General features: G+C 38.3%; 1 annotated feature.

Moving 5' to 3' along the window:
• Positions 9,329 to 9,378: an enhancer, noted in NCBI's record as "active region_6711". NCBI's record gives its function as "activates an Ori minimal core promoter by ATAC-STARR-seq in GM12878 lymphoblastoid cells {active_cell/tissue: GM12878}" and the evidence as "EXISTENCE:reporter gene assay evidence [ECO:0000049][PMID:35858748]".

Below are 15,482 nucleotides of genomic sequence, written 5' to 3'. Positions count from 1 at the left end.
CTGTTGATCTGTGACCTTATCCCCAACCCTGTGCTCTCTGAAACATGTGCTGTGTCCACTCAGGGTTAAATGGATTAAGGGCGGTGCAAGATGTGCTTTGTTAAACAGATGCTTGAAGGCAGCTTGCTCGTTAAGAGTCATCACCACTCCCTAATCTTAAGTACCCAGGGACACAAACACTGCGGAAGGCCGCAGGGTCCTCTGCCTAGGAAAACCAGAGACCTTTGTTCACTTGTTTATCTGCTGACCTTCCCTCCACTATTGTCCTATGACCCTGCCAAATCCCCCTCTGCGAGAAACACCCAAGAATGATCAATAAAAAAAAAAAAAAAAAAAAAAAAAAAAAAGAAAAACTGAGAGAAATATTTGCAACTCATATCACAAACAAAGGGCTAGACTCCCTAATATTAAAAATTGGTAAGACCCATTCAGAACATAGAAAAGGAAATAAAATTTCTCCTAAATAAATAACAAGATAATCAACTTCACTCTTAAAAAAAAGAAAAGTAAATTGAAACCACAAATGAATATAATTTTTGACCCTCTCATTTGGCAAAAATCCAAAGCTAGCTAACATAATCTGTTGATAGGACTCTGAGGGGAAAAGTATTTTCTCACGTATTGCTGATTGGAGTATAAATAGGCATTGTGCTAATATCTTTACCAATTACAAATGCATATACTTCTCAGCCTAGAAATTTCACTGCTAGCAAATCCCAGACATACATAAGGAATATGTGAAATATTGTATGTACAGCATTACTCATTGCAATGAAAAATTTGGAAATATCCTAATGTCCACCAATATATATCTAGCTAAATAAATAGTGTATATCCATACTTGTAGGTGGTTATTAAATACTGAATGCAGAAAGTCTCCATGTACTGAAATTAAGTGGTATCCAAGTTATCATAAATGAAAATAGTGTAACTAAGTGAAACAGTATAGAATAGTGCTTGTTAAGTGAAAAGAGTGTGTATAGTATGTAATCTTTTGAGTAGGAAGAAAATTATATATATATATATATATATATATATTTGCTTGTATATGCATAAAGAAATTCTAGAATACTACTCAAGGACTCAATGATAGCTGTTACCTATAGAGTTAGAACTAGGGGCTGAGTTAGGAAGACATTTGGATGTAAATAACACTTTTCATTGTATAACATCTTATGGGTTTTTGAACCACAATAATGTCTTAGCTATTAAAAATTAAATTTAAAATATATAAATAAAAAAGAAACAATTTATTATGAAGCTAATACTGGTTTGTGACTTTTTCATTTTTCTTAAGTTTATGCATTATTTAATATATCTAATAAAATTTTGAAGCCTTAGTTGAGTCTACATCTCACTCTACATCATTTCCTTTTTAATAAAATTGTACATTTGCATAATCCTCAACATTTCTAACAGAAAATTACATAGGAAGGCCCAACCATAAAACTGATGACTTTTCAACAGCAAATGGTTTCATTTAAAATAATTTGCCAAGAGTGTATAGTTTCCCGGCCATTTTTTCTGATTGGTAGAATTCCTAGGATCAAAGAATTTTTTTAGAAAAAGACTTTTTTAGAGCAGTTTTAGTTTTGCAGCAAAATTGAGCAAAAGGTACAGAGATTTTCCATATAACCCCTGTCCTCTACTTTCATAGCCTCCCCCATAAATCAACTTGCCCTGCCAGGGTAATAAATTTGTTATAATTGGTGAACCTACATTGACACATCATTATCACTCAAAGTCCACAGCATATGTTAGGGTTCAATCTTGGTGTTGTACATTGCATGAACTGGACACATGTATAATGATATATATCCATCATTGCAGTGTTAAACAAAGTAGTTGCACTGTTCTAAAAAATCCTCTGTGCCCTGCCTCTTCATCTCTCCTTTCCTGCTGACCCCTGACAACCACTAATCTTTTTTCTGTCTCCAGGGTGTTGCCTTTTCCAGGATGTCATATAGTTGTAATCCTACAGTATGCACCCTTTCCAGATTGGTTTCTTTCACTTAGTAACGTACATTTAAGGTTCCTCCATATCTTTTGATGGCATGAGAGCTCATTTCTTTTAGTGCTGAATGATATTCCATTTCCTGGATGTACCACAGTTTATTTATCCATTCACCTACTGAAGGACATCTTGGTTGCTTCCAAATTCTGACAATTATGAATAAATCTGCTATAAACATCCGTGTTCAGGTTTTGTTTGGACATAAGTTTTTAAGTCCCTTGGGCAAATACCAAGGAGCACAATTCAGCAATTTTGCTCCTTGGTATCAAAACCTATATGAGAGTATGTTTAGTTTTCTAAGAAACTGCTGAACTGTCTTTCAAAGTGGCTGTACCATTTTACGTTTCCACCAGCAATGATGGAGAGTCCTTGCTGCTTTACACCCTCACAAGCATTTGGTGCTGTAAGTGTTCTGAATTTTGGCCACTTTAATAGGTGTGTAGAGGTATTTCATCGTTTCAATTTGCACGGTCAAAGTGTTTTTAATAATAAACAAAACTGCACTTAGAGCACAAATACTGACAATAAGTATCAAAGGCAGTTAAATCAATAGTTATAAAAAGATTTCAGTGTTGTGACATGCTATTTAATACTTAAATGATCACTTCATAGGTGTATTAAATGTAATAAACTCCCTCATATCTGTGTATTAAAAGTAATAAACACCATTTATCACTCACTCATCACAAAGTCTTTCAGGAAATTTGACTGGAAACAGTAAGAGGTAGTCAATTCCTCCTGTTCCCATCCCCACATGCATGGCCATCCAGACTGCAGATTAAGCAGTTCTCCCACATTCTCCTTCTCTCATGAGTCAGCCAACCAATGGAGCCACTTCAGTTCCCATGTCATAGAGCTCTGTCAAAGATCAGAACCGGCCTTATCTCCTTCTGATAAAAATCAGAAATAACCCAAAGAAGATACTCTTATTTTTTATCATTATATCTCTACATTTAATTAATTTAGAAAATAATATTCAGATAGATAAAAAAATACTTCTGAGGCAAAAATAAAGAAGGCTGTGAAGATTTAGCTATAGGCATTCAAGTTTCTATAACAATTGCAACACAAATAGTTTGTTTAGCCAAATAATGCCTCTCCATGTTTCAAAAGTCACCTGCAAAACAGCCCCAGGAAAGCAATCAAGGACTAAATAATCAGTGGCCATGGTGAGCACCACAAATGCAAAGGGAGTGGAAACACACACTCTCTTTTGATTCAGCTTAAATTTCAGCCTGAACTTAAGTAGCATCATTGCTGACACAACACATTAATAACAAAAGGAGAGCTTCCTGTTCTTCTTTTTACAAAGCTTTGTAACCTTGGTTTCTGGGTCTCCTTGTTTTGGAAAAAGAAAAACAAAATCACTTCCTGATGACTTTTCTGCTGAAGAGAAATCTGACTAAAAAATAATTAAGAAAATAAACACACTTTACATAAAGATATGTGATACTTTTTTATTGTTTTTACTTCATCTTAAAATCTGACCACACATTATTGTTTTTCTCTCTGTAAGTATGCACAAGAAAAAAAACTAAAACACACCGCTTTCTGGGTGCTGCTAATAGGTGTTCAGTATCACAAAGATCGAACAAACCACATAATTGTGACAATTACTATGGCAACTAACAAAATTTTCAAATCAAAATACCCACTCTCAACGCCGCCCACACAGAGCTTTTAGAGCTAGCATCCACTTCCACTTCAATGTACAGTGTGCAAATTTGGAAGGCCCTGCCATCTTGTAACCACAGTGAAGAAAACTGCCTACGTTAACTCTGCTACTTTATTTTCAGTTGACTGTTTCGTATGTCAGACAGCATCTCTTGCAGCACTCCATTCAAAAATGGAGACCAAAGAGTCGGCTGCCCAGTCTGTAGAAAACTGCACATAGAGCCTGAAGCAGACATGGTACTAAATTAGCAATACCATCCATATGTTTTCTCCTCTGGGCATTCAGAGTCACGAAAATAAGTTCTCCAAAAATAACTCTTCTATCACATAGTGTATCTTCTTTCCTCTCATGAATCAGATCGTCATTTTAGTCTGTCTGATTTAATTTTCTAAAACCAACTCCCTCATATCTGAGAGAGCCTTTCCTCAAATAAATGCCACACAGGAAAGCTGATATGTAATAAAATTGTAAATGGATCTGTTTAAATTTGGTTGGAATGTTCTGTTTTGTTTTGAGAGACAACAGAACTTTAGGAATCTTTCAGCTCACCGTCATGTGCTGATGAGGAAAGCCTCAGGATAGAGACCAAGGCCTCTTGGAAAAAGCTGAAAAGATAGGGAAAGCGTAAAGAACAATCCATGTCTTGCCAACACAGCCTCCTAATTGGGGAAAAAGAAGTCACTGGACAGAATCCTGCTCTGCTCAGCAAACATCACTGTGTCACTTTCTCTTCCTGCTTCTGCTTCGGCAGAAACAGGAACTCTTAAGGCAAGAAAGCCAGAGGAAGTGACCTGCATTTTCTTGGCGGGACAGACACACAAGCAAATTGAGGTTTCCTCTGCTAGGGCACATGAAGTTAGGTGAATCCACTGTTGAGTTGGAAATTGTCCTAACTGGCAGCAAAGACATCATTGTAATAATAACAATTAACAACCCGACACTCACTGGTGCTTACAATGTACCAGCCATTGTTAAAAGTGCTTTACAGAGACAAATTCATTTAATCCTTATGTTCAGTGTAGCCCTGTCATCCCATTTTACAGATAAGAAAACTAAGGCACAGAGTGTTAAGCAACCAGCGAGGTATAGAGTGGAGCCAGTATTTAAATTCAAACAGCCTGTTACAGACTATTAAACCTGAGAAGTTTTTAGGTGTCTGGAAAAGTGTACAATGTTTTATCTTGAAATTTGTTGGCTTTCAAAATCTGTACACACACACACACACACACACACACACCCCAAAAAATTGCAATGTGATGTTTGATGTGACCAGTGTTTAATGAGAAAATATTTCTATATTTGCAGAAAACGTAACTTGTGTATGCCTCAGACTAGGACATAAGAACTACCCACCCCCTACACCCCAACCAGCCTATGGCAGAACAACTGTGTGGCTAGAGCTGCATTTTAAAAAGTGAGTAAACCTAAAGTTGTTGAGAAAGGAACATGCAGTAAACAATGGCAAAATACAATCAACTCGATTATTTGTGATTTATAACTGGGAGCACAGGTCATTCAAACAGCTACTTGAGTCAATAATTCCAACTTTCTGCCCATGAAAACTTTTTGTATTCATTTTCTTTTACTGCTGGAACAGATTGCTACAAACTTTGTAGCATAAAATAACACAAATTGAGTATCCTATAGTTCACTAGGTCAGCAATCTAGCATGGGTCTCATCAAGAGGCTGTAGGCTGCATTTCTTCCTGAAGATTCTAGGGGAGAATTCATTTCCTGCTCATTTGGGTTATTTGCAGCTTACTTCTTTGTAGAGGTAGGCCTGAAGTCCCTGTCTTCTTGCTTCCTGTAAACTGAGGCTCATTCCCAGCTTCTAGAGGCTGCTACCACTTTGCTTGGCAAGTAGACTTCTTGCTCCATCTTCAAATCCAGCAATGTCAGGTTGATTCCCTCAAATCTCTCCACCTTCTTCTTCCGTCTCATCTCTCTGACCCAACTGAGAAATGCTCTTTCCTTTTAAGAGATCATGTGATTACATTGGTCCCACACCATTAATCCAAGATACTCTCCTGATCTTCAAGTATACTCCTTTAATCACTGTACATCTGCAAAGTTCCTTTGCCATGTAAGGTGACATGTTCACAGTCCTACACAGTTGCACATACTCATGTCTCCAGAGATTAGGACATGCATATCTTTGGGGTATCATTATTCTGACTCCACACTTGTGAATAAGAAGCCAATTCAAAGATTTTCTTTCTCTTTTTCTCTTTAGCAGCTTTATGGAGGTATAATTGATTTAAAGTTGATCCTTGAATAATACTGGTTTGAACTGTAAGGATCAACTTATATGTGAATTTCTTCCTCCTCTGCCACCCCTGAGATTGCAAGACCAGCCCCTCCTCTTTCTCCTCCTCTTCAGCCTACCCAATGTGATGACAAGAATGAAGACCTTGATGATGAGCCACTTCTACTTAAGAGTAAACAGGCCAGATGCAGTGACTCATGCCTGTAATCCCAGCACTTTGCGAGGCCAAGGTGGGCAGATCACCTGAGGTCAGGAGTTCAAGACCAGCCTGGCCTACTTGGTGGAACTCTGACTCAACTAAAAATACAAAAATTAGCCGGGCATGGTGCTAGGCACCTGTAATCTAAAATTACAAAAATACAAAAATTAGCTGGGCATGGTGGTGGGCGCCTGTAATCCTAGCTACGAGGGAGGCTAGGCTTAAACCCAGGAGGCGGAGGTTGCAGTGAGCGAAAATCGCACCACTGCACTCCAGCCTGGGCTACAGAGCGAGACGACTCTGTCTCAAAAAACAACAACAAAAAAAGGAGTAAATATATTTATCTTCCTTATGATTTTCTTAATAACATTTTCTTTTATCTAATTCACTTCAATGTGATAATACAGCATATGATACCTATAACATACAAAATATGTGTTAATAGACTTTACATTATTCGTAAGGCTCCCAGTCAACAGCAGGCTGTTAGTAGTTATGTTTTTGGAGAGTTACAAGTTGTATACAGATTTTTGACTGCACAGTGGGTCAGCACCCCTAACCCTTGAGTTGTTCAAGGGTAAACTGCACATTAAACTATATATCTTTTTTAAATGTATCATTTTAAGAGTTTTGACATATATACAGAGTATACACCCATAAAGCTATCAGCTCAGTCAAAATAATGAATATACATCATCCCTAAAAGTCTCTTCATGCCTCTTGGTAATCTGTCCCTCCCTTCCTCACTCCATCCCCAGGCAACAGCTAATCTGCTTTCTTCATTATAGATGATTATACATTTTCTGGAGTTTCAAATAAATGGAAATATACAATACATACTCTCCTTGTGTTTATTTGTTTGGTCTGGCTTCTTTTGCTCAACATAATTATTTTAAGATTCAGCCATATCATTGCATGAATCAATAATGCTATGCAACCCAGTTATTCTATTTCTAGGATACTACTCTGTTTTTGTTTCTATCCGGAACAATGTGTTAGGAAGAGAAAAGAGACTAAGAACAACTATAGCTTTTCTGACCTTCTACTGCAGCCAAAAGTCCCAGAGACACATACAAACCTCCAGAGAACTTAGACATTTGAAATCCATGACACTCAGACAAGGTCTTATTACATCAGTTGGGTTTTGCTGTGTAAGAAACTACACCCAAAACTGGGTGTCTTAAAATAATAGTCATTGTTCTGTGAATCAATAATTTGGGCTGGACTTTGCTGGGAAGTTCTTCTGCTAGAATTGGCAAGGCTCACCCATGCAGCTGCAGTCAGTGAGTAGATCAGCTAGGGAGTGATTCAACATCTCACTCAATGTTTGGTGGCTGGTACTGTCAGTTGTTGTTGGCTGCCAGCAGAGTGACAGAGGTGACTGGCCACAGGTCTCCAGCAAATTGCTCCAGGTTTATATTTACCTGGTTGCAGTCACAAGGCTCCCAAAAGCAGCAAGAGTGGGCAAGCCCCAATACACAATCATATTTCAAGCTTCTGTTTGTATCACATTTGCTAATGGCCCATTGATCACAATAAAGCCACATCACCAAGCCCAGCTCAAAGGGTGAGGAAATAAACTCCACCTCTTGATGGGAGTAGCTGCAAAGAAATATTGCAAAGGGACAGGCAAACAGGTAGAAGATTTTATAACCATGTCTGCAGTCTGCCACATTTTTCTCTCTTCTTCCTTCATTAACTTCACTTTTTCACTACCCATTCATGCCTCAAGCCACACCTCTGATCCAATTTCTTTACCCGTAACTCAACAGAATCTATTCTATTCTCTCCCAAATTACTAATGACCTCTTTGTTTCTGGCTAAGTCCAGGGGACCTTTTTCTCTCATTGTCTCATTTGGAGTCTCAGTGTCACTTGACGCAATCTTCTCCATTGACTTTGATAGTACTACTCTTTTCCTTCTTTTCCTCTTAGCTGTTTCTTCACAGTCTCCTGCATAGAAAAAGTGGGTAGCAGGGCACCTAGCACAAAATATGCATTTAAAATTGATTTGTTGAATAAATGATTAAGTGAATAAATTAATGAACAAATAAAATGGGATTATGTTCTACCCACTGATTAAATGTTGGAGTTTGTAAAGCTTCAGCTACTACCTATGTGCTAACGACTTCCAATTACAAGTCTCCAGCCCAGGTCTCTTTTCTGCACTCAGGCATATGTATGCAGCCTCTGAATAGACTCTTCTCACTGACACTTCAAACTCAACCTATCTGAATCTGATCTCATTAACCTCACTTCCAGATCTGCTTTTCTTTCAAATTCTTTCACGATCTACACAGTCACCAAAGCCAAACATTTGAGTGTCATTCTAGGCTCCTTCCTATGTGGCACCAAGTCTTACTGCTTTATCATTATGTTTTGTTTCATTTTGAGACAGGGTCTCACACTGTCATCTAGATTGGAGTACAGTGGTATGTACTGCAGCCTCCACCTTGTGGGCTCAAGCAATCCTCCTACCTCAGGCTCCTGAGTAGCTGAGACTACAGGCATGAGCCACCACAACGAGTTAATTTTTTAATTTTTATTTTGGAAGGACGAGATCTCACTATTTTGCTCAGGCTGGTCTCAAACTCCTTCTGCCTTGGCCTCCCAACGTGCTAGGCTTTAATTTTTTTTTTTTAATTTGCTGCCTTCTCTCCAACCACATTGTTTCTACTCCTCTTGTTTAAATCCTTATTATTGCTCACCTAGATGCCTACAACCTCCACCTAACTCAGTGCAAAATCCGAAAAGGCAGGAATCACCAGAGTTGCTTGTTCAAAACATAGATTACCCAACCTGCTCCAAATCATCTGAGTCAGCATCGAGTGCAAAGGGGTCTGGGGATCTGCATATTTTAGAAGCACCCCAGACGAGTCTGGTTATCAGGCAATTTTTGGAAACACTGTCCTTATTTGCCTCCCTGCCTCCAAGAGTTGCCTGCCATCATGCACTCCACTCTCCACACTGTTGCCAGACTGACCTGTTTAAAATGCAAATATAATCTTTTCACTTCTTTGCTTAAAATATTTCCAGAGTTCTTCATGGTGTCTAGGAAAATAACCACATTCCTTACCAAAGCCTTCAAGTCTCTCCGGCCTTATCTTTTGATGCTCCTCAGTCATGGACCCTGCGTTCTATTCTTTACTGTCTTCTAAATGCAGCATGCATGCCGTTTCAAGCTATTGCACCAGCCGTACCTGCCACCCAAGACACTCGCCATCCTCCCCCTGTATTTATTCATCACACACTTATGTAACACTTAAGTGAGACACACTCTTCCAAGTACTTTGGGAATATCAATGCATTTATTCATCCTTACAAACCTGGGATAGGTAAGTGGTAGGTACTATTGTTACCCCCACTCATAGAGAAATTGAGGAATCTGAGGTTGAAGAATTGAGAAATTGAGGTTGAAATTGAAGAACTGAGAAATTGAGGTTGGGAACCTTGCCTGGGGTCATGCATAGTTACTGGAAAAAACAAGACTTGAGCCCAGAGAGCCTGGCTGTAGAATCCACGCATTTAGCAACCATGTTCTAGTGCCTCTCCTTCATCTGGCTAAACCCACTCTTTCTCAAATCTCAGCTCAGCAATTAATACTTCCCAGAAGCCTTCTTTGATTTCCCAGTCTGAATTGGCATTTTGAATGGGCTTATTTTTGTCATGGCACTTACAGTACTGTACAGTAAAAAAAAGAAAGAAAAAAGTTCATTTTCTTCTCTGACAAACTAGACTAAGTTTCTTTTCTTTCTTTCTTTCTTTTTTTTTTTTTTTTCTTTTTTTTGAGACAGAGTTTCATTCTTGTCACCCAGGCTGGCATGCAATGGTGTGATCTCGGCTCACTGCAACCTCTTCCTCCTGGGTTCAAGCAATTCTTCTGCTTCAGCCTCCTGAGTAGCTAGGATTACAGGCACCCACCACCACGCACAGCTAATTTTTGTATTTTTAGTAGAGACGGGGTTTCACCATGTTGGCCAGCCTGGTCTGTCTTGAACTCCTGACCTCAGGTGATCCACCCGCCTCGGCCTCCCAAAGTGCTGGGATTACAGGCGTGAGCCACGGCACCCAGCCTAGACTAAGTCTCTTAACAGAGGAAGAGATATTTGTTGTGTCTCCAAAGCCTAGCCCAATGCCCAGCATGAATAAGTAACTAAGTATGTGTTGAATTTAAAAAAAAAAAAAGAATAAATGCATGAATGAATGAATCTGTACATGAATTTACAAGCAAGCAGCAAGGGACATCAATAACAAACAATCTGAACAGTCTGCCACTGAATCGCCAAGTCACCTGTATACAATTTTATGAGGCGTTTCCATTTTTGGCGTAGGAGATGGCCTATCTAGTATCAAAAATAAACTTTAGGAGTCTTTCTACAAATTTGACAGATTTTCATGGGAATTCAAATTAAATGCATGATTGGACATTTATTTGTTTAATCTACTCAGTAGGTTTCTTTTATTTTCCTGTGTCAAGCATGAAAGTTAAAACTATTTCTAGGCCTTTCATCTTAGCTTGGCTTTCCCCTTAATTTCTTTGCTCCAGAATGTTGAACAAAACAGGTCCCTTTTTGTGGTTGGAAAGTTTGGCTTTACATAGAACCTTTCAACACACAACTGTCAGCACCTGATTATGGGCCATTTTTTAGCCTATGACTTTCACTTCCTTCCTTAAATAGGTCTTTCAGATGAATCATCTTTAGCCACTCTGTGATTATGCAGGGATCAGATACGCAGTATAGAAATGAACAGGATACACTGAAGTCCCTTCTATCTTGTATCATTTTGTGCTCTGATTTGGGGGGGGTTCATTTTTTATGCAATAAAAATGTGATTGACTACTGTGTGCTGGCTTTTGTTCGAGCTGTCAGTTCATTAGCACTTCCAACTAGAGTGGGAAGAAGCAGAGAACTGGATAAAGCTCACGTCCACTAGTTTTGAGCTGTTTAGCATTCCTAGTTCGGAGACAAATTTGGTGGGAAAAGACTTGGATGAGACTTATTTGTCCAACTCTTTTTCTATACCCCATGTAATTATTAAACTGTATGTGTGTATATGTGTGTATAAGCAGTCAACCAGCATAGTTGCAGAGCCCCTTAGCTACTCAAAAATTCATCCCTCAACCCGTAATTTATGAATACTTCATCAAATTCATTCCTACAATACACATGCTGATGGTCATAGCTATTTACTTATTAGATCAATTTTAGAAAATATTATGTTTGGGTAAATAATCTCTTTAATGGTGGTTTATTGTGTCACGTGTATACATGGTCCTGAATATTAATATGAAAGAACCCACTTTTTTTCCTACGAGATAAGAAAAATCAAGGTACCAAAACCTACAATGCTGAAATGTACTAGAATGGATTAAGGAAAGAAGAAATTTGCAATAGGGATTCTTGTCTTTTATCTTCCATATGAATGACATCCTAAATATATATGATGCTGACCTACATTTCTATAGTTGAAGGCTATTTTCTGAGTGAAATCAGCTACAATGAAATGTGCAGTAACAGACATACAAAAAGGAATAGGCAACAGAACTCAAATTGAAGAATTAAATGGGCAAGAGGTGAACAGAATAAAGTGCAGAACCTCATATTTGGTAGGCTTTAAGAAAGATTTTTACCTCTTAAGGACAGAAAAACTACTCCTTTAAGAGTTTTGCCAAGTCTGCAAAACAAGATTCTGGCTTTGTTCAGCTTCTTCCTCTCCTCTATCTTCTGAGAAGAGAAGACATGTTAAAAGAAAGCAATGCTTTGGCATCAGTAATGGAGAATTGTCAGAGAACCAACAGAAAGAAGCAATGCCTGCAAGGTGGTAGGAAGAAGAAAAAGACTTCACAGGAGAGGGTGGGCAGAGGAAAGTAAAAACAGCCCAAGCTGGAGGCAGAGGAAATGGCTCAGGGGAGAAGCTAGGAGTGAGAATAGCTGTGGGGTGTGAAGGCAGCTTGTAGAAAAGAGAAAAGAACATTTTTTTAGGAAAATTTCTGAGAGCTATGTGTCCCTGATATGGTTGGGATGTTTGTCTTCTCCAAATCTCATTTTGAAATGTGATCCCCAATATTGAAGGTGGGGCCTGGTGGGAGGTGTTTGGATCACAGGAGCGGATCTCTCATGAATGGTTTAGCACCATCCCCTTGGTAATGAGTGTGTTCTTGCTCTCAAAGTTCACGCAGGATATGTTTGCTTACAAGAGTGTACCGCCTACCCCCCTCTCTTGCTCCTGCTCTCATCATATGTGTGCTGGCTCCCCTTCCCTTTCACCATGACTGTAAGCTTTCTGAGGTTCTAGCCAGAAGCAGATGCTAGGGCCATGCTTGTACAGCCTGCAGAACCAGGAGCCAACTAAACCTCTTCTTTACAAATTACCCAGCCTCGGGTATTTCTTTACAGCAATGCAAAAATGGACTAATACAATCCCCTTCATGATACGTGAGAAATACATGTAAAGTATTTGAGATATTCTGAAATTATTATTGGTGGCTGAGTTCCTTTGAACGTGACACTGCCTTGGATCAGAACTACATGGCTCATCCCTTTATTAACATTACACATCTTTTGGAAAAGGAGCACAGTGAAGTTATTAGGAAAACCATCTTCATCATATCCTAGTAGGATTTTAGGCCTCTGGAGGACTTGGTAGAAGTCCTTGGAGTCTTTACATTAACTCATTCTATACTCAGAGCACATTCTTCCTCCTCCTTTTCCCGTTTTCATTTACTGTTGTGTCCTTGTTGGTATACAAACAACTTACTAGACTAAGGTTCTTGATGCCAATAACTGTGGTCTTTTTTATCTTTGTATTCCATGTTATATCCAGCAGAACACCAGGCACGTGATTAGATATTCAATTAATTGAACAATCAATTCATTCTAGGATACACATAAAGTTATACTAAATAAAGCAAGTTAAAATGTAATGAGAGGCCCACTTTCAGAGGCTGCGGCAGGCAGATCACTTGAGGTCAGGAGTTCAACACCAGCCTGGCCAATATGGTGAAACCTCATCTCTACTAAAGATACAAAAATTAGCCGGGCATGGTGGCTCATGCCTATAATCCTAGCTACTCAGGAGGCTGAGGCAGGAGAATCACTTGAACTCAGGAGGTGGAGGTTGCAGAGAGCCAAGATACTGCCACTGCACTCCAGCCTGGGTGACAGAGCAAGACTCAAAAACAATTAAAATTAAAATTAAAAAAATTAAAAAAAAATTAAAAATTAAATGAGAGAAAGCCCAGTAGATTTGTTTTTGTTGCTGGCATTCCCATTATTATCATTTCATTATTGATCTGATCAAATATTCTGGTTCAACAATATACTTAGAATCTAAGAACTACAACTTTTCTTGTTTACTTTACCAAAGTGTCTTCACTGTGGCAATATATTTAGAACTCATTGACTATTACTATACTTTCACACTTCAGAAAATATCACTAAGAGACTCTTCTGCTAGTAGCAGTTATATAAGTAGCATTAATAATACATGCATTTTCCAATCTTCTTGTCTAAAAATTAACTACCAAATAGGCCAATTTTAATTCTCTCAATTTTATAAAAATACACATGAGATCATAGCTATAGCTTTCACACTCATTGTTTCATTTGTCTGGAAATCCTTTTTGTCTCATTATCTCTTATCCATCTACATATAATCCTAACATAATGAAACACACCAAGCCATCTCTGAATCCAAAATAGCAGTACGCTGGGTCTGGTATATAACACTAAGATTTAATGGCTTGGTAGGAGCACATATTGAGAATCTGGATGGAAGGCACTGTGTTCTAGTAACTGTAGGGAGTTAAAAAGGAATCAGAGGCCCGGCGTAGTGGCTCACACCTGTAATCCTAGCACTTTGAGAGGCTGAGGTGGGTGGATCACTTGAGGCCAGGAGTTTGAGACCAGCCTGGACAACATAGTGAAACCCTGTTTCTACTAAAAATACAAAAAAAAATTAGCTGGGCATAGTGGTATATGCCTATAATCCCAGCTAGTTGGGAGGCTGAGGCAGGAGAATCACTTGAATCCGGGAGGCAGAGGTTGCAGTGAGCCAAGATCGCACCACTGCACTCCAACCTGGGCGACAGAGCATGACTGTCTCCAAAAAAAAACAACAAAAAAGGAGTAAGAGCATTTTACTCTGACAACAAGGAACTTACATACAATATGCATAAAACGTCACTGTGACACGAAATAACAAACATTAAAGAATGCATGTACACACATATTTCTGTCACACATTCCCAAACTTACATTGTAAATTGTGTGGTTGCTCTCTACACGTGCACACATTACCAGATGAACTTGTTTGTGACCAAGTAGAAGAGTCAAGGCAAGAAGACAAACCTGAAAGAGGTAGCACTTACTGGGCTGTGTGACCTATGACAAGTCCTACGCCCTCAACTGAGCCATTGTTTCTTCTGTGGAAAGGAGTCCATCTTCGTCTCAGGTAGGTTGTAAAGAGTAAATGAGGTAACAGAAACGTGCCTAGCACAGAGCGTTTCATAACCACTCATCCTCTTTCCATGTTGCATTTTACTTTGATTTCTGACTGCCAACCTACACTTTCTTGGCAGTTCTGCTTCTTGGACACCAAGATTTAACAAAACAAAAACATATTTCTGATTACTATATACCAAGCAACTCTATATATTGTTTATAAAAACATGAAACCATACACACAAGTAATAAGAAAGTAGCTTAAATACATAAACACTAATGAGAGCTGTCCATATGTACATATAAATGCCTAGTATTTAAAGATACAAAGGGCAATAAATAGAAAGGAGAGGAGGTTTCTGGGGAGATCACAGAACTAGAAGATGTAACTTGAAAAGGTAGTATAAATAAGGGGTCATTAAGCAAAAATTTCACAATATTTATGTTTTTAATTATGATGTAACACACATTTGAGAAAATTTGGAAAGCATAGAAACACAAAAAAAGAACATGTAATACAAGTCATAAACTTGTACCAGATATAAACTCTGTTAACATTTGGTGTTTTCTTTCTGATATTTTTATTTGTATATATTATCTATTTTTTTACCTACTTAGAATTATACTATATATATGGCTTTGTATTTTGCTTTTCAGTTGTATAGTAAGGATTTTCCATGCTGTTAAACATTTTCTGAAACCATGATGTTTAATGGTTGCCTTTTATCCTTAAGATACACTCTGAATTTAACCACTGATCTATTATGAGTCTTTCATGTCATCCCAAATTTTTTACTTTGAGCAGAATTTTAGATGATGAAAAAAATGTATTTTAGTTAAAAATAACATTTTAACCAACATGATATAAACCTTACATACTAGAAA

The sequence above is a fragment of the Homo sapiens genome, chromosome 12 (genome assembly GCF_000001405.40).
Source record: "Homo sapiens chromosome 12, GRCh38.p14 Primary Assembly".
In the NCBI taxonomy this organism is placed as follows: Eukaryota; Metazoa; Chordata; class Mammalia; order Primates; family Hominidae; genus Homo; species Homo sapiens.
This window is presented reverse-complemented; position numbering and strand designations above follow the sequence as displayed.